The 18657-nt window shown below is 43.9% G+C and overlaps 1 long non-coding RNA gene across 1 annotated transcript in view, besides 6 other annotated features; it reads left to right on the top strand.

Moving 5' to 3' along the window:
* Positions 1730-3945: an enhancer, noted in NCBI's record as "fragment used in the MYC e7 reporter construct". NCBI's record gives its function as "activates a MYC promoter by reporter assays in K562 erythroleukemia cells {active_cell/tissue: K562}" and the evidence as "EXISTENCE:reporter gene assay evidence [ECO:0000049][PMID:27708057]".
* Positions 2153-2912: a transcriptional cis regulatory region, noted in NCBI's record as "e7 or intergenic|chr8:130704425-130705465 region (GRCh37/hg19 assembly coordinates) targeted for CRISPR interference". NCBI's record gives its function as "positively regulates CCDC26, MYC and PVT1 gene expression in K562 erythroleukemia cells {active_cell/tissue: K562}" and the evidence as "EXISTENCE:mutant phenotype evidence [ECO:0000015][PMID:31784727]".
* Positions 2219-2461: a silencer, noted in NCBI's record as "fragment chr8:130705155-130705397 (GRCh37/hg19 assembly coordinates)". NCBI's record gives its function as "represses an EF-1alpha promoter that drives an FKBP-Casp9 reporter gene in an ReSE screen in phorbol 12-myristate 13-acetate-treated (for megakaryocytic differentiation) K562 erythroleukemia cells {active_cell/tissue: K562(+PMA)}" and the evidence as "EXISTENCE:reporter gene assay evidence [ECO:0000049][PMID:32094911]".
* Positions 4798-7010: an enhancer, noted in NCBI's record as "fragment used in the MYC e6 reporter construct". NCBI's record gives its function as "activates a MYC promoter by reporter assays in K562 erythroleukemia cells {active_cell/tissue: K562}" and the evidence as "EXISTENCE:reporter gene assay evidence [ECO:0000049][PMID:27708057]".
* Positions 5676-6010: a transcriptional cis regulatory region, noted in NCBI's record as "e6 or intergenic|chr8:130701605-130702105 region (GRCh37/hg19 assembly coordinates) targeted for CRISPR interference". NCBI's record gives its function as "positively regulates CCDC26, MYC and PVT1 gene expression in K562 erythroleukemia cells {active_cell/tissue: K562}" and the evidence as "EXISTENCE:mutant phenotype evidence [ECO:0000015][PMID:31784727]".
* CCDC26 (CCDC26 long non-coding RNA) overlaps positions 15131-18657 on the top strand; it is a 328546-nt gene continuing 325019 nt past the window's right edge. The window contains exon 1 of the long non-coding RNA NR_130917.1: positions 15131-15442. This is a non-coding gene — a long non-coding RNA (CCDC26 long non-coding RNA). The remainder of the gene's footprint in view (positions 15443-18657) is intronic.
* Positions 18300-18389: a silencer, noted in NCBI's record as "silent region_19540". NCBI's record gives its function as "represses an Ori minimal core promoter by ATAC-STARR-seq in GM12878 lymphoblastoid cells {active_cell/tissue: GM12878}" and the evidence as "EXISTENCE:reporter gene assay evidence [ECO:0000049][PMID:35858748]".

Below are 18657 nucleotides of genomic sequence, written 5' to 3'. Positions count from 1 at the left end.
TTTTTCAGATTAGGAAGGTAAGGTTCAAAGAATTTGAGTAACTTGCCCCAAATAACATGGTTTTGTGAGTTCAAAGGTTTGTGCTTTGCAGTATAGAAAACTTGTTCATAGGTGCTCATCAAGTTGGCTCTTGGGGGAGCAGTTTCTAAGTCAGAACATTTTTTTTTTTTTTCTGAGACAGGATCTTACTCTATCACCCAGGCTGGAGTGCAGTAGTGTGATCTCTGTTCACTGCAACCTCTGCCTCCCTGGCTCAAGTGATCCTCCCATCTCAGCCTCCCCAGTAGCTGGGACTACAGGCATGTACCACTGTGCCCAGCTAATTTTTGTGTGTGTGTGTTTTGTAGAGACAGGGTTTTGTCATGTTGCCCAGGCTGGTCTTGAACACCCACACCCACCTCAGCCTCCCAAAGTGCTGGAATTATAAGCGTGAGCCACTGCATCCATCCAGAACTTATCTTCTCTTTGGAGTGTTGACATAACCAAGTAGAGTAGACCTGGAGTCATTGGCTAATGGCCAACATTCTCCCCTCAGATGGTTGCTGACATTCAAAGGAAACCTCTTCAGCACAAGCCCTCTAAAATCCCTTGACCCAGGAAAGATGTGAAAACCAGCTCAGTGGGGGTGAGAATGGGCATTCACAGCTGTCGCCCAAGCTTCCCTCTCAGAATGAGTTAGTACCTAGCTTGGAACAGGGAGAAGGGTGTCAGACTCCTGAAGCAAGACCACCTCCTGGTCCTGCCAGAGTCACTCCTGGTGAATAGTGTGTTTTCCCAGAATTCTGGACCTGTCTGCTTTCAAATGCAAGAATTGAAAAGCAGGCCAAGTCCAGAAGGCAGGAGGACAGCTGGTGGAACACCTTTTGTCCCAGGATTCAGGAGACCTGGCTTCTAGGTCTGGCACTCACTAGCTCTGTGGTTTGAGCAAAAAACTTAATGTTTCTGAGCATCTTAATGTTTCCTTGTCAAATGCAAATCATAATGCTTACCCCACAGGTGAGGATGTATGAGAACACAGCATTTGGAATTGACAAATTACATGTCCGGCCCCCCTAGTAGCCTGTGAACTCCTTGGGGACCAAGTATCTTCTTCATCTTCATTTATATATATTTTTTACATAAAAATAAAGAAACAGTTAAGATACCATGTATTAAGGGCTTCATAACTCTTAATAAATGTAAAATATCTCTTCTAGGATTCTGAAGATAATACTCTTCTATATTAAATCATTCATTCATTCATTCATTCATTCATGTATCTATTCATTTTTTAAAAAAAACAACTATTTGTTGATCATTTGCAGTGTACTAGGCCGGTGTGCGGGTTCTTGGTGATGAAAAAACAAACATAGCTTCTACCATCAGGAGATTGAAGTACTAGTTGCAGACATAATCACTGCACAGACACACACATGCACAAGTACAAGCTGTAGTGAGTTCTAGGAAGGAAAAAAAACCAGGCAAAATGGATGAATGTGTTAAGAGGAGGGGCATAATTTGGTTTGTGAAAGGTGGGCAGGGGAGGCATTTCTGAGTGGGGACATCAAAACTGGGACCTGAATGATGAGCAGGAGCTTGCCAGACAAAGAGTGGGGTTGGGGGAATGGGGGTGGGTGGGGAGGTGTGGGGAGGCGGGAGCAGGCATTCCGCACAAAATCAATTCTAAGATAGATGTTGTTTTTGTTCCACTCAAGGGAGATCAGTTCTGGAACTACCTTTTAATAAGAGAGTTTCACAGCATGTGCTCCAAAAGGAATTGCAGAGCGAGGCTCCAGGCCGTAGGCAAGCCGCAAGCAGCAGTTTTACCACGATGACATGAGGAGAGCTGCATAAATACCACCGATGTCAAGGTCCCCAAGATCTGGGGGGAGAGGGAGGTCTCCGTCAAGGGTCTAGGGGGCCATGTGCAGGAGCTGCCAATAACAAAGAGGCTTCTGTTCTCACTGGCCTGTCCTCCACCCTGGCCCAGAGGCACAGTCATTCATTTGACCTTCCTTCTGCTGTGTCTGTGTGAAGACCCCCACTCCAAACTACTTCAATGGCAAGAGGCGACTGGGAACAGCTGGGAACTGTTGTTAGCTTCTGGCAACATCCTGGAATTTCTTCCTTGTGGATCCTGTGCCCCTGAGCTGCTGGGGGCCCCTGACTTGACCTGGAGTTGAACTTAGCTGAAGGGTCCAGGGCTAGGGGTTGCCTCCTTGTCAGCCCTGATAGTAGCATGAAATTACACAGTCTTTCCAAGAAAGCCGAGGCTGCCTTTCTAGCCATTCCTGGGGTGGAAAGACTATCAGAGGCTATGTTTTCGGCAAATCCATTCATGTTTTCCAAGGGCAGGATAGTGCAGGAGAGAGTGACCAGATAAGACACTCGCTTTTGTTCACAAACACCCTGAGGAGGTCCCTTAAGAGATAGCAAAGCTTCTGGTGGGGATGAGGCAGAGAAGGTTTGCTTCAGATAAGATGCTAGTCGAGGGACAATTGTTGTTTTCAAGGGAGGAGATACAAAACATCCGTTAATGGGGTTTGTCCAAGGATGAACTTTTCATTCACAGAATTAGAGAATGGGGAGTTGCAGCAATTCTACTCTAACTCTTTCTTTTAAAACACAAGCAAAAAGAGGCCAAGAGAGGGGAGGTGACTTTATCTAGATCCCACAGCAAGTCAGGAGTAAAGCTCTGTGTAGGGTTGGATGCTCTGACATAAAGTCCACTGCTTTTAACTACTAAGTCCCAATATTTCACCTCTCCATCTTGTCATTTCTCTATGTCTTTATTTATTAACGAGTCCATCCACCCATTCATGCATTCCTTTATGTGTTTGCTCATCAATGTTTATTCAGAGTACAGAGATGACTGACAGTTCCTCAAGGAATGGATGATGTCATGGAGGAGCCGCCCATGAATGTATAGCAGAGGGACTAGTCAAGCAGCGTGGGAGAGGCAGAGACAGGGCATTATCACGGTGAGATTGAAGAAGGCTTCATAGGGAGGATGGCTCTGGAGCTGAGTCTTAAGGTGGAAAAGGATTGCATTTGTTGAATAAGAGGAGAAACGCTTTAGCACCGTACTTTTAGAAGTGGCATGAAGAATGAATTGAAGAAGTGAGACGTTGGCACCAAAGAGATGAGTTATAGCAGTTGGTTCATTCCACAAATCAGCGATACATGCTTCATGTCTTCAGAGGCCATCCATGGTGTTGGCCACTGTGGGGATGTCAAGTTGTAAAGACCTGGACCCTTTCCTTAAGGAGCTGAACTTGCCAAAACACAAATGTGCTCAAATAACATAATGAAACGCAAAATGAACACAGGACTAGAAACTGTGAGCTCTGGATTTTAGTCTCGCTCTGGTATTGATCTCCATGGTGTTTTGGGGCCTTGAATATTTCCTTACCTGTGAGATGGTGAGGTTAGGTCTGCCTTCCTGTCCCAGGGAAAAGGCAAAGGCAGTGTCCATCTCTAGCCTATTCCTTCTTGGTTGTATGATCATGAGAAGTCATTTCATCACACTGGAGCTCAAGTCCTCATTTTTAATGTGGGGGGAGTAAAAGCTTGTCCCACGGAGTGTGAGGATGATCTAAAACAGCTGCAGGAGAGTACAGAGCATGCTACCTGGAAGAGAGTCAGCCTCTAACAAATGCTCATTCTTTGTCCCACACTCCCATGGCTCTGTTTTTTCTTGGAAGGGGTGAATGGAATCAAGGATGGTAATACATATGAAATCTCGTTAAAATAGGAAGTGCCCTCCATAAATGCCAGGGGAATCCCATGTAGATTTCTACATAGGAGAGTCTGGGGGGGCTCTTAAGGCTGATCTCTGGGAGGATCTGTGCCTCTCCTAGTGTCCTGTCTTTCTTCTGGTTCTAAGTCTCTGGACAGGCCTTCCCCAGGAGGGCTCCTTGGTCAAAGGAACTCCTTTCCCAGAAGCATGCAGAAGGTGACAGGCACAAACACAAAGACAGACTGTCCTTGGCTTTCTGGAGCAGAGATAGCTTCAGACATTCTGCCTCACTCTTATGGGGACCTGTCAGCCCAGTTCTTGGGTCAGAAAATGGGTTCATGGTAGGTTAACCTAAGCCACAACCAGTAACGACTACTTTTCTCTAATGGTTCATCAAAGCCTTTTGACCCTTCCTTCTCCATTGCTCTACCATCCACCTCCACTGTTCCAGCCTTCCTGCAGCTCCCACGTACTGCATGCCTTCGTCACTTCCTGCTTTGCCTCTGGCGCTAGCGTCCGACTGTTCTTCCCTTCTTCCAGTCCACCTTTCTCACCACAACTAAAAGAACGTTTCTGCTTTGATCACATGATTGCCGTGGAAGTGAAACATGCAGAGAACCCCAAGGGGTGAGGAGGCTGCAGCCCTTTATTTGGCTGGACTTTGTCTTGAGAGCTTCTCTGCCCTTGCTTTGCTTTGTTTATATAGAAACAGGTATTTCGTTATAATTCCTTTTTTTTTCTGCAGAAAGATTAAGTGCAAACACTTGGCATTCAAGGCAACCCCTCAGGGAATCCAGCTTTTCCAGCTTTCTATGACAAACTCCTTCAAGTACATTGTAGTGATTAAGGGCATGGACTTTCAATCCTGACTATGTTCAAGTCTTACCTCTGCTGCCTATCAGCTATGTGATCTTGGGCAAGTTACTTAACCTCTCTATGCTTTGACTTCCTTATCCATACTTTGGGAATAATAATACTCCATACCTCACAGGGTTATTGTGAGGGTTAAATGAGATTATCTATATAAAGTTCTTAGAACTTTGCTTAGCACAGTAAGTACTCAATAAGTTCTATCCATTCCAGAAACCTCCACCCTAGCTAAATTCATCTCTGTTAACAGCCGCACATGTGCTTTTGACTTTCCTGCCTCTGTGATTTCAGCTGCTCCTTTCACCTGCCTGCAATGATCCCTCTCTTTCCTTTTGGCTTTATCCAAGCTCTCCTTGTCCTCTATTGCTAAGGAAACTCAAGCAATTTCTCAGGACCTCTATGGCTAAGGAAACTCAGGTAATTGTTCAGGAGAACGAGACAGAACTCACCCTGGTTCCTACAGCTGAGTTACTGTGGGAGGTCACCTGGCTTCTCCACATTTCAGCCTTCCCCTTGGTGAAGTGCAGATACTTAACACAGACCTTGTGAAGTCATTGAAAGAAAAATTCTCAAATTCTGGCAGATAGTAGGTATTTAATGAATGATAGATATTATTAAGCCAAGCTAGTCCTTCCTACCTGAACTTTTCCCTCTGAACTCTTCTAGTAATTATTGATTCCATCATTTATCTGGTCATTCATTGACCATGTAGTACTTTGTATCACCTCATCTTTTCTTTCTTTTTGTCCTGCTTGGAATGATTACTGTAATCTTATGACTGCTTAGTTTTTTAAACATGCATAGTATCCTCCTCACTGCATTGGGGTTTCCTGGCGGGAAGACCCTGCACAGACATTTGTAACGTGACCAGAGTTTTAATGTGCAATCCCTCCATGCTAGCAGCTTGGTGAGGTGCTTACATTTTGTAGGACTTCATAGGCTTTTTGCTGTGGTATGTCGGCCTGGTACAGCCCAGGGCTTTGAGGCTGCAGCTCTCTCTTAAGTGTTTATTTTTTGCACCTTTGCCTTTGGGCGATGGACTCCCCCACCTAAAGCTTTGGACTTTTCCTGGCTGCCTCATTGACCAGTTGTGAGGCTGACACCAGCCTGTGAGTCCAGAGCTGGGTCAGAGCAGATAAGGGCTTGTTCTCAGAACCAGCATGGTGATCACTGTGTGTCTTCTCCTTATTTTCTTCTCTGTGAAAACATGTGCCTCGTAATTTGTGTTCTGAGAAATATCTCAACGGTCCTGTGCCCTAAACATTTCCTCATCTGAGATAAGGCCTGGATGTTGGCTCTAAGGAGGGAAAAAGGTACAGTGGAGAGGAAGTTCTGATCAGCAGGAAGATTTCCCAAGCAACGACACCGCCTCTGGCAGCAATGGCCTAGAAACTGGGCTGCCTTGGTGCAGACCGAGACCAAGGCCATTCCCAAAGGAGAGGCTGACAGCATTGCCCAGGCATCCTCTTCCCTGCCAGGCATGGACCTTCTGAGGGATGTGGGGGCTACTGCACCTAGAGAGAGGCACTGGAGCCTGAGAAATCAGTGCTTTGAGGCCTCAGTGGTGGGGCTGGTGGCTGAGGCTGCTACTGGTGGAGTTGACGGGCCCTGGATAAGACCCAGAGTTCAAGATTCTGGTCTTGGCCATCAGTTCCTCACTGTGTGATCCTGGGCATGTCACTTAATCTCTTTGGAACCCAGTTTCTTGCCTAGAAAATAAGTATGTCTTATCAGTGGTTTTAAATTTTTAATTATTTAAAAAATCATCAGAATGCTTTAGAACTTTTTTTTCCAAAAAGAATTGTATGCATATTCCCAGTTGATACAACAGATAAAAAGAACAGTCCTGTATGGAGGAGTTTGGGCCACCAGGGGCCTGTGCCCAGGTCCTTCCTGTCATTCCATGCTGCCATGCCTGTTCTGTTCCCCGGGACATGTTCATGCAAACCTGGCTTCCCCAACACATTTTAAGCCCTCTGGACTAGCTTTGTCCCCAGCTTTGTGTTCTGGGCCTACCAGTCAGCTTGGCTGATTTTCCCCAGGTCAGTGGTGATGGGAGAGCAGTGCTGGTGTGCGGAGAGAGGGCAAATATTTCACCAAAGGACCAAGTCCCAGACAAATCAGAGAGGATGCTGGTCAGTGTGCATTGGTTGAATATCAGTACCAGTTTTGTGTCAGAATGAGCTGTGAAATTTTTAACAAATACACCCTTCAGGGTCTATCCAGCTTCACTTGAATCAAAATTTGGGGCTATTATTTTGAAAAATAGGAAATAGGTATGTGCAGCCCCTCCTCCTAACAAATAGGCAACCCCAAATCAAAATACTAAAACCTTGATTCTGGAGCTTTGGATGGGTGGGTGGTCTCCAGGAGGTATCGTCAGAATAAAAGGGGTCTTAAGTTAACTTGGAGCATGGCAAGGGCAAGAATAACACCAATAATATGATGAAGTACTTACTCTGGAATAGGTTCCATGCTTAACATACCATGAAATAGGTGGATACTAGTTTCCTAGGGCTGTTTTAACAAATGACCACAAAGCTTCATGGCTTAAAAAATCCCCCAGAAATTTTTTTGCTTAGAGTCCTGGAGGCCAGAGTACAAACTCAAGGTGCTGGCAGGGCCACACTCACTCTGATGGCTCTAGAGGGGACTTTGTCTTAGCCTCTTTCAGCTTAGGGAGGTTCCAGGCATTCTGTGGCTTGTGGCTGGATAACTCCTACCTCTACCTTCATCTTTCTTTGCGTGGACTTTTCTTCTTCTCCTGGTGTCTGTCTTTCTGCGGTCATAAGGACATTTGTCACTGGATTTAGAGACAACCTAGATAATATAGGATGATCTCATCTCAAGAACCTTTACATAATTACATCTGCCAAGACCTTTTTATCAAATATGGTCACGTTCAGAGGTCCTAAGGATTAAGATGTGGACACAGGTATTGAGTGAGGGACAGCATTTAACCCCAACTTGTTATTAACACCAACTTAAAGATGAGAAAGCCCAGGTCTAGTCCATGGAGGTAACCTGCCCATGGCCACACCGCTGGTGAGTGGCAGAGCTGGGCTGGGACTCACCCTCAGGTCTGCTTTATGCTTGTCTTCTACAGAGCCTGTCACACAGACGTCCAGGGAGTATGTGGACCAGGCAGATGCAGGACAATCATTGGTGCCAGCTTGCAAGACTCTGCCTTGCCTACAGAGGGTGCTCAATGCCTGTCTGTTAGAGAGGTAGTTCTTGATTCTGAGACCTTGACCAGGACTTCTAGGGCATAGTGAATTAATCTACCTGCCTCTATATCTTTAGGATAGTGCAGGAAATGTCGGATAAATGAAACTGAATGCCTGGAAGAAGATAATGTTCTCATATGTCCGTGGACCTTTATAGGGTCGATAGCTTATAGTTAGTGCATAGATGCTATGGAAAAAGGCTGTATGGGAAGACAGGGATTCCTCTGAGAGACCCAGGTCCATGCTTCCCTTCTTGCTCTAGCCACAATCTGCTTGAGGGACTTCAGATCCATCACCCTGCCTCGATTTCCTAGTATATAAAGTGAGGCTACTAATGGATTTCACAGGGTGTTTTCATGTTTTGTTGACATACAGGGATCGGTCTGAAGGCAAGGGGAAGTAAAAGATAGAATTTCCAAGCTCCTCCTAGCCCTAGGGTTTTAGAAAAAAAAAGTTAATCATATTTTGCACCAGCAGATGTAAGCACATATTGTAACTGTGAGAATAACATGAAATAGAGGACAATCATGCTCTTTTACTTGGATTAGGTCAAGAAACATTTTGCTTAAACTTCAATTAGAGAGATGGAAGTTAGACAAGAATCCCTTTGTGATGTCAGCAGATGTATTTCATGGGAATGGGGGATGAGACAGACTTCTCAGAGGAGAGTTTGGGAAGGAAGAGGACTGTGGGGTGCAGAGGGCGGGAACGAAGCCTGTTGAAACATTTTGACATAAGGAAGACTTTTCAAACCATTAAAGCTGTGAAACCCAGCAATAGGTGACTTGGAAATATGACAGGGCCTTGCAATCAACAAAACAGAGGCCAGATTCTGAAACCATTGTGTATTATTTGAAAGTCATTCTGCCTCATATATACCTATTTTTTTACTGAGATGGAGTTTCGCTTTTGTCGCCCAGGCTGGAGTGCAATGGTGCGATCTTGGCTCACTGCAACCTCCGCCTCCCGGGTTCAAGCAATTCTCCTGTCTCAGTCTCCCAAGTAGCTGGGATTACAGGCATGCACCACCACGTTCAGCTAGTTTTTGTATTTTTAGTAGAGACGGGGTTTCACCATGTTGGCCAAGCTAGTCTTGAACTCCTGACCTCAGGTTAGCCACTCGCCTCGGCCTTCCAAGGTGCTGGGATTACAGGCGTGAGCTACTACATGTGGCCTCTGCCTCATATTTATCCAGCCAGTGTAGACCTGGGATTTGGAGTCAGACAGATCTGTGTTAAGTTCGTGCATTGTCATTTGCCAATTTTTGACCTTGTACAAGTTACTTAACCATCCTGAGCCCCAGGTTCCTTGGCTGTGGTAGTGATATAGAGCACCTCTCTCCTGAGGTTGTCTGTAAGGATTAGATGAGCCAAGGCATGGTATATAATGGTACTTGGCATATAAGAAGCATTTAGAAGTTCTGATATATGTGTAGGAAACCCCATCATCCTTGTTTATGCCATGTGAGCAGTTTGACAAAGCTCTGAGTTGAGGCAGGAGAGTCATCATGCTATTTAATGACAAATGCTTTCAGTGTTTCAAAATGGAGGTAAATGGAAACTTGATGTTTTTCTCAAACACCATTAAGTTGAGGCAAGGCTTGGAGGAGCCTCAGGAAGTTCTCCTTTCCTGTGACTGCGGGTCTCGGGAACGGTGTTGGAATGCCCCTGCCCGCTGGCTTCCTTCTGCTGCTTTGGGGCCTGTCTGCAGACAGGCCAGATCCCAGTCATCTGAAACACCACTCAGAAGGCAGGAATGTGCAATCCGTTCCAAGCTGGAAGTGACTTTCATGTGACAGGCCGCACCACTCTGTGACTCTGTAACTAATTTTCCCTGCCCTGGAAGCTCTCCAGATTCCTGGGATGTGATCAATTGAGGAAACCACTTCAGGTCACATTCAGGAGAGTGCTGTATCTGGAATTGGGTGTGAGAGCTCCCAGCATGTGGAAAATTCAGACTCCAAGTTTCTTTATGTTTTTTTCTACTCTTTTCAGGCTGGTCTTGTTAGGTAAGGAACATGCAAAGAAACCCTCAAAGTTGAAAGAAGTTAAGACAAAAACAAGAGCTGGAATTCCTTGACTGAAGAGGTCATTGTACATGGCAAACAAATGCTCAGCTTATCTTTACTTAACTGAAATAAACGGAACTAAACTGAATTGCTGTCAACGTGTTTATGTGAACGCGTCTGGGACATTTATCACCGTAAAGGTGGTCTTATAAAAGGAATATTCCTGTGTGAATCCAGACACTGGCTTCTAGTGTTAGCTGGGTTCCTAACTCACTCTGAATCTTTGGGCAAGCTGCCTACCTTCTCAGGAAGTCAGTCTCTCTGTCTCTAAAATTAGTTGGGCTCAGAGTTTCCTTCTCTGTTTACAATTCTTTGATGTGTTTTAGAGGGCTGGAAAATTCACCGCTGATGGATCTGTAGTAGGATTCATAAAGGTCTCTTATGTTTGTATATTGCTTCATTATTTCCTTTGCTATTTAGAATCTATTCAGCTTGACAGGGAAGGTTGTGTTATCCCAATATATAGATTAGAAAACTGAGGCCCAGATAAATTGAATGATGTGGCCATGACTTTTTGGCTGGTGACTGGAGGAGGTGAGAATACAACCCGGATCTCCTGACATCTAGTCTGGAATTCTTTCCTCTTGACATGTAAGGTTGTGAGAAACCATATCTGACCATGTCTGGGCTCCATCAGAGGCACAATCTTGTTAACTTGTTTCTTCTGAATCATGATCTGACCTCAGGTAGCTTTTTGTAGGTTCTCAATTGGAATTCAGTTTATAATAAAATGTATTACATGTTGATAATGCAGATTTCCAAGGTGAGTCTTATGACAAGGCATGCGGAGGAAACACGGGTAAGGGAGAAGGAGTTTAGGCCTGAAACCACGCAGACCTGGTGGGCATCTCTGTTCTACAGTTAACTGGCTGCTCACTTACCTTCATTTTCACATCTTTAAAATGGGCATTATAATATCTAACTTTTAGGGTCCTCAATACATTAATTCGTTCACTCTCTTCATCTTAGTCATTTGAAAACAATATTCTACATTCCTTATAAATGATTTCATTTAGGAACATTGAATGATAGAAAGATGATAGTAATATATTGCTATGTTAGACAAATGATACAAGTAGTATGTTTTGTATGAACTTAATTTGTATAAAAATGCACAAAGTACACAATAAAGAGACAAGAATGATTGCATATGGTTAACAGTGGTCTTCTATAGGTGGTGGGACTACAAGTGCTTTCAATTTTTTTCTTATTGCTTTTCTTCTTTTACTTAAATATCTAAATTGACCATATATTAATGTGGTAATCAGTTTTAAAAAGTTCTTTCTCTTAAAGGAGTAAAGGTGATGATTCTAAGTGGGAAAAAATGGAATAACCAGCTTTCTTTCAAATGGTTGTTCAAAAGATGTATTACCATATAATTTAAAAACAGGCACAAATGATGTTTTCAGGAGTAATTGTTAACTAACTTTTTTTTTTTGTCAATGAAGACAGCCCCAGTCAGCCACCAGTGGGTCCGTGGCATTGAAAAGGACACTGCCCAGAGCAGTTGGGGCCCGGACTCCACATCTACTGCGTGCCCTTGCCAAACAGCTGTGTTCTGAGCAAACAGCGTGATGACACTCACCTGTAGGAAGCGGAAATGGGGTCATGGAGTTGGGCTGCAGTCACAGGTGGGGTCACAAAGAGCTGGTGGTGCCACGGTTCCACCCCAACACGCGGGCCAGCCTATCAAGAGAGGGCCAGGACAATGCCGAAAGAACGTCTGTTGCTCTTGGTAATGAGTGACAGTTCTCCGCTGTCGGGTAAGTCCTGGGCAGGATGCTGTCACAATTACAATTTGGCCAGAACCCGCAGTCCTGGGCTTAGGTCTTACAACACAGGGAAAGCTGATGGGAGTTCCTCCCGAGCTTAGTAGCGAGGCTAGAGAGAGACAGAATGACAGAGAGAGAAAATGGTGCGTACACATGGAGAAGCGCGGAGTGAGCACAGATACTCTCTGTCCCAAAATGTGTTTTTGCCACATTTCTTTCAGTCTAATCAGGAGCAGAGAGGGTATCTTTCTTTGTAATGGCTCCCCCAAATTAGAAAGTGAGATAACTTTATTTCATACATGGATGTACATTTTCATTTTAACTTTTGGGTTTTAGTGTGTGTCTTTAAAGGCTGATTTTTGTTTTGTGACAAGAGATTGTTTTTCCATTCCCGAGAGTAACAGTGTTCTTTTAAAAATACATTGCTTTAAGTAAAAAAATGGGGTCACTTCACATATTAATATAGTTAGTGTGTGGAAGTGGCAAAAATCTTCAAAGGGTGATGCAAACAGCTAAAATATGGACATCACTTTTCTTCAGTGGCCTGGAAGTTGAAAGACTTGGGTCCCTGCCATTTTACCTACTAATTAGGAGAACGTAAGTCAGTGGTTCCCAAGCCTACCTAAATGTTGGAATCACCTGGGTGTGGGAGAGCTTCAAAAACTACTGATGCCTGTTTTCTAACCCAGAGATTCTGATTCAATAGGTCTGGGTGTGGCCTGAGCGTTGGAGGTTGTAAAAGATACCCAGGTGATCCTAATGTCAGGCACATTAGAAGCCAATTCTTTGATGTCCCTGAGCCTTAGTTTGCTTTCTGTAGTATGGGGGTGTGGAGTGTCTACTAAACAGGATTTGTGCTATTCTTCATGTTCTTTAAAAAAAAAAAAAAAGAAAGCAAATGCTTTCAAGTGAACGGCTCAATGTTTTCTCCCTGAAAGGGACTGCTGGACAGTATGAGACACTGGGTTCTAGATGGATAAGACAACAGGTCCAGTCTGGGGCTTCTTGTGCAAAGCAGAGAAGGTGGAACCAAAAAATGGCGAGGAAAAGGATAGCTGGCAGAAGCTCTTTCCTCTGGCTGGGTGTGGTGGCTTACGCCTGTCACCCCAACACTTTGGGAGGCTGATGCTGGAGGATCACTTGAGGCCAGGAGTTCAAGACCAGCCTCGTCAACATAGTGAGACCCTGTCTCAATAATAACAACCACACAAACCTCTTTGCTCTAAGCCAGCTTTATTGATAGTTTATATATTCAGACAGAAACAGTGTGTTGTGGGGCAGAGCTAATATGTGTATCCAAGAGATGATGGGCTGCCGTGGGCTAGCAGAGTGACTTCAGACAAGCCTCTTTACCTCTTTGGGTCTCATTTTCCCCAGCTGGAGAATGAAGGGTGGACTAATTGATCCAGACAATTCAGTCTATTGCTAAGGCTTCTCTCTACCCCACCTCCATTGCAGTCTTTTCTTGGCTTTTTGCCAATGAGTTCTTCAGAGAGGCAGTAGATGGCAGTAGAGGCTTTTGAATGAGGACTTTCAGGTTGCTTGGCTCACCTAATTTCATCCTCCCATCCTGACACTGCTGGGAATGCTGCTCTGGAAAGATTCTCTGCTGCCTGCAGAGCTGACAGCTGCTGCCTGAATCTACTCATCTGTGAGCCACAAAGGGGCAAAGTTTAAAGGAACAGCACTTCTTAGCTGTTCACAGTTCTACGAGGGCAGGGCAGAACAGGACCAGCTGGTGCCTACAGTCCAGTTACTTCTTTGCTCTGTCCCTGGGGTCGGATCTCACCTGTTTTTGATCTTTGGCACATTTTCCTGCAATGATGAACGAGTGAGGCGGGCTGGGAGTGAATAAGGAGACTTTTAGGGTAAGAGGGCAACCCGGGCCATCTTTAGGACAAGACCAATTTCTCGGAGGAATTTATATTTGCACATGATGGTTTTAAAAGAGCTTTCATACACATTGATTCATTTCATCTTTGAAACTACCCTTTCAGTTCGGTAGAAGCAAAATTGTCAGTTTCGGCAGATGAGGATGCAGAGTCTCAGGGTAAATGGGAAAGTGGTTTTTTCAAGTCAGCCTGCTCTAATGTGGTGATCAGAACTCAAACCCAAGTCATGTATGTATGTATGTATGTATGTATGTATGTATTGATGGAGCCTTGCTCTGCCACCCAGGTTGGAGTGCAGTGGTATGATCTTGTAACCTCCGTCTCCCGGGTTCAAGTAATTCTCCTGCCTCAGCCTCCTGAGTAGCTGGGATTACAGGCACCATGCCTGGCTAATTTCTGTATTTTTAGTAGAGACGGAGTTTTACTATGTTGGCCAGGCTGATCTCGAACTCCTGACCTCAAGTGATCTGCCTGCCTTGGCCTCCTAAAATGCTGGGATTACAGGTGTGAGCCACTGTACCCAGCCTCAAACCCAAGTCATTTGGCAACTTAGTTCAGTCCTCTTTCTATTGAGTAAGGCATAGCAACTAACGTGCCCCATATTTGAGTTCCTGTAGGTACTTATAAGCTGGGTTATACATTTTAAAAATCTTTATCATTTACTCAGTATGTGTCAGGCACTAAACCATGTTCTGAGAATAGAGGTGAAAAATAAATAACTATCCTTGCATACTGCTCTATATGTTCCAGAAACTGTTGTTAATGGCTTTAAAAATAATTGCCAATTTAATTCCTCTTAGTTAGTGTCCCTTTGAGGTAGGTATTGCTTTAACCCAGTTTACAGATGAAGAAACTGAGGCACAGAGAAATTATGTAACTTGCTACAGTAAGTAGTGAAGCCAGAATTTAAAGGGAGGCAGTAGCATCCTTTTTCTTTTTCAAAACAGCTTTACTGAGTGATAAGTCATGTACTCCATAATTTGCCTATTTATAGTGTATAATTCAATGGTTTTTAGTATATTTGACAGAGATGAGCAAACATCACAGTCAATTTTAGAACATGTCTCATAACATGCCTCATCCCCCCAAAATAAACCTGTACCCATTAACAGTTGGGACGTGGTATTCTTAATAGCTATACTATATTGTTTCCATGGATGACACATGGTTTTTGTCTTTCAAGAGTTCTGTTGAGTTCAGGACACATAGACAGATTATGACACTACAGTGTAATAAGTACAGTGACAGTTGATGCTCAAAGAGCATATAGCTTACAGTATAATGCAGAGTCTTAAAGTAAGGACTTTAACAGAAAGAGAGAGAGAGACAGAGAGCAAGAGAGAGCATGAGCCTGAATTTTCTGCTTATAATAGAGCTATGATTAATGCATCAAGTACTCCTGGAAATTAAAATGATGTTCATAGAGGGGATACTTAGATTTTGTATGCTGGGGTCAGTTGTGATGTTACCAGATTAGTCAATGACTCCTTTCAGCCCCCTTGGGGAATGTGATGGGGATGGCTGGGTGGGCAATGGGCGTGGGCATAGTCTGGGATAAACAGGGAAGGTTAAGAGCACCTAGTGCTTGGTGTCTGGGAGGTCATGAGGAAAGGCTTCACTGTTACTCTCAGGGTCAACCTGGTGTGATGCACACACCAATTCAGCAGCCAAGTTTATCTAGGATATGTCAATCTCACAAGTTATAGAAACTTCCAAGAAGTAGCAACAGGACCCAGGAGCTCACAGCTGGGTTTTCACTTAATCCTTGTACAGTGTTGCCTCAGCTTCTCAAAGTTTCTGGTGTTTATGAAGATCCATAACAGCTGGCTGCAAACCCAACTCCTGAGAATCATTTCTGGGAGAATGCCGAAGACTGCATTTCAACTTCAAGAATGGTGAGAAAAGTACAGTTGAAAATCTCATTTTAATAACCTCGTAGTAATAATAATGTCTGCCATGTATTGAATGCCTTCCAAGTGCCAGATGGTTATGTTAGAGTTTTTTTTCACTTAAATCTCATGATCAACCTGCCAGGGTCACATTGTTACCCCTACTTTAGTGGTGATTAGGATCAGAAGTGGGGAGGTAGTTTGCCCAAGGTTTACATAGCTAGGAAGTGACAGGGCTGGAATTCTAACTAGGGTGATCAACTCATCCTGGCTTGGCTGGGGCTTTGCTGGTTTTAAGATGGAAAGTTCCTTATCGCAGCAACCACTTCAGTCTTGGGTAAGCCGAGAAGTTTGGCCAGCCTAGTATCCAGGTCTGTTGGGTTCTTTCTGCTGTGCCCTGCAAACTGAGAAGCTCCCTTGACCCCTCTCTTGGCAGCAGTACATGGTTTGGGCTCCCTGCCGCACCCCCTTAGGGACTTGCTATGCTCCTCCCTATCTGTCCCCAAGTGCCTGCTCTCTGGAACTGCTCTGAGCCTTGTCTCCTTCCAGCTGTTTCCTGGCCCCCTCAATTGCCTGCTTTCTCTAATGATAGTTGCTCTTATTTTCGTGTCAGGCCTTTTACCGTTTATCCGTTTGGAGCTTCCCCCAAGCACCCAACCCACTGCTGGCTATAAAGATTTGGAGACCTGGGCTTGAGTTCCAGCTGAGCTGCCTTCTGGCTATTCCCTGGGGAAGCCACCTCACCTCCCTAGAGCCTCTGCTTCCTCATCCAAGACTGGGGGTATAGCTGTGCTCACCCACTAACACTGCTGTATTGTTTAACGTAAAGGCAAGATGAGAACATGGAGTTTCAACCTGAAAGGCATTGAGCACGTTGGTTGTCATTACTGTTGGGTGACTTCCTACTTTCCCTGCGTACCTCTGAAAGGAGAAGTGAGTTAGTGGCCATGTGGACCCTGATTTAGCATGGGAGGTTTTGGCGTCTGCTAGCCTGGCTACCTATCCATTGTGTGTCTGCTTTTTTCAGATTTAAAAATAGGGTTCGTGAGTGCCCGACAAATTAGTTGTGAAATACTTAGTCTTTTATCCTGGGTTGGCTTCAAGCTTGAAAAGCGGGTTGGAGCCATGTGTCTTCAAGCTGGCCCAGGACACCCTGCCAGGAACACTGGCTTACTGTGCTGTGAATAAGTATTGGTGGCACAAATGAATGAATGAATGAATGTGGCACAGAAAGTGCCGAATGGGCGATAGGGAGTACATTTGAATGGAAGGTAAAATTGCTTTGGAAAGTTGAAAATATCTGATGCAAACAAGCCAATTTCTCACAAACCACTTCAACTATTTCCTGGAACAAGGCAGCTTGTAAAGAAACACATTACATATATAAATAAATAGTACAATCATTTATATGATTCCCTTATCTTTAATTATTATTATTATTATTATTATTATTTTTGAGACAGGGTCTTACTCTGTCACCCAGGCTGGATAGAGTGCAGTGGCAATCATAGCTCGCTGCAGCCTCTAACTCCTGGGCTCAAGTGATACTCCAGCATCAGCTGCCCAAGTAGCTGGCACTACAGGCACACACCAGCAGATCTGGCTAATATTTTGTATTTTTTTATAGAGACAGGATCTTGCTATGTTGCCCAAGCTGGCCTCAAACTCCTGGCCTCAAGCAATCCTTCTACCTCAGCCTCTTAAAGCACTGGAATTACAGGCATGAGCCACTGCACCCTGCCCCCCTTATCTTTTTATCTTAAATTCTTTCCACTCTTTACCATCTCTTTGTTATGGTCATTTCCACATTAACCCCATTCTGGCTGCTCAGTCATTAACTGAGCATAGATAGGAGCCATTTTTATGATATTTATTTCAGAAGCTTGTAAGTAGGTTGTTTTTTACTTCTTTCCAAATCAGCCCAGAACTCTTGGCCATTTTCAATTATTTGTGTTATTTTATCTTATCTCACTGGTACCTTCTGCTCTGTCTCCTTTGCTGGTTTCTTTTTTCCTCTCAGACCTCTTACATGGGAAGACCCAGGGCTCTACACCGCATTCTCTTTTCTTTATCTAAATTCCTTCCCTTGGTGATCTCATTCAGTCTTTGAGTGTCAATTATTATTTACATCTTATGACTCTCAAATTTATATCTGTCCCAAACTTCTTGCCTGAATGCCCATATTCAAGTACCTATAGGGCTTCTTCACTCATATATATATATATATAATATTATATATAACACATATATAATATCATATATATTATATATTATAAAAATATATTATATCTATTATATATAATATATATTATATCTATTTTATTATATATATTATATATAATATATATTATATATTATATATCTATTTTATTATATATATTATATAATAATATATATAATATTTATATTTTATGTATATACTATATACTATATATAGTATATATTATATACATTATATATATATTTTATTATATATATATTATATATATATATATATTTTTTGAGATGGAGTCTCACTCTGTCGCCCAGGCTGGAGGGCAGTGGTACGATCTCGGCTCACTGCAAGCTCCGCCTCCTGGTTCACACCATTCTCCTGCCTCAGTCTCCTGAGTAGCTGGGACTACAGGCACTCGCCACCACACCCAGCTAATGTTTTGTGTTTTTAGTAGAGATGGGGTTTCACCGTGTTAGCCAGGATGGTCTCGATCTCCTGACCTCGTGATCCTCCTGCCTCGGCCTTCCAAAGCGTTGAGATTACAGGCGTGAGCCACCGTGCCCGGCCTGTTCGCTTATATTTTTAATAGACATGGAAACTTAACATGTCTTAAACTGTACTCTGGCCTAAGCCTCACCCACTCTTTCTGATTGGTTCCTCCCAGCACTTCCCCATCCCAGCTGAGGGCAGCTCCATCCTTGGTTGCTCAGATGTCAAACTCTGTAGGCGTCCTTGAGTCATCCTATCTCTCACCCTCACTTCTGTTCTGCCAGCAAACCCTTTAGTTCAACTTTGAAATACCATAGTTCCTCAATACCAAGATAGAGATTATGTCACCTTTTATAATAATATATCCAAATTAGGGATGTGGCCCACAGGCAGAGGCATGTTGGCTTCAGTGAACTATGACACATCCAGTATTTGGCCATTTCTCAGCCCTCCACATTAACACCTGTTCAAAGTCACCCTGATTGCTCACCTGGAAGACTGCCATGGTCTCCCTGCC

Source organism: Homo sapiens, chromosome 8 (genome assembly GCF_000001405.40).
Source record: "Homo sapiens chromosome 8, GRCh38.p14 Primary Assembly".
NCBI lineage: Eukaryota > Metazoa > Chordata > Mammalia > Primates > Hominidae > Homo > Homo sapiens.
This window is presented reverse-complemented; position numbering and strand designations above follow the sequence as displayed.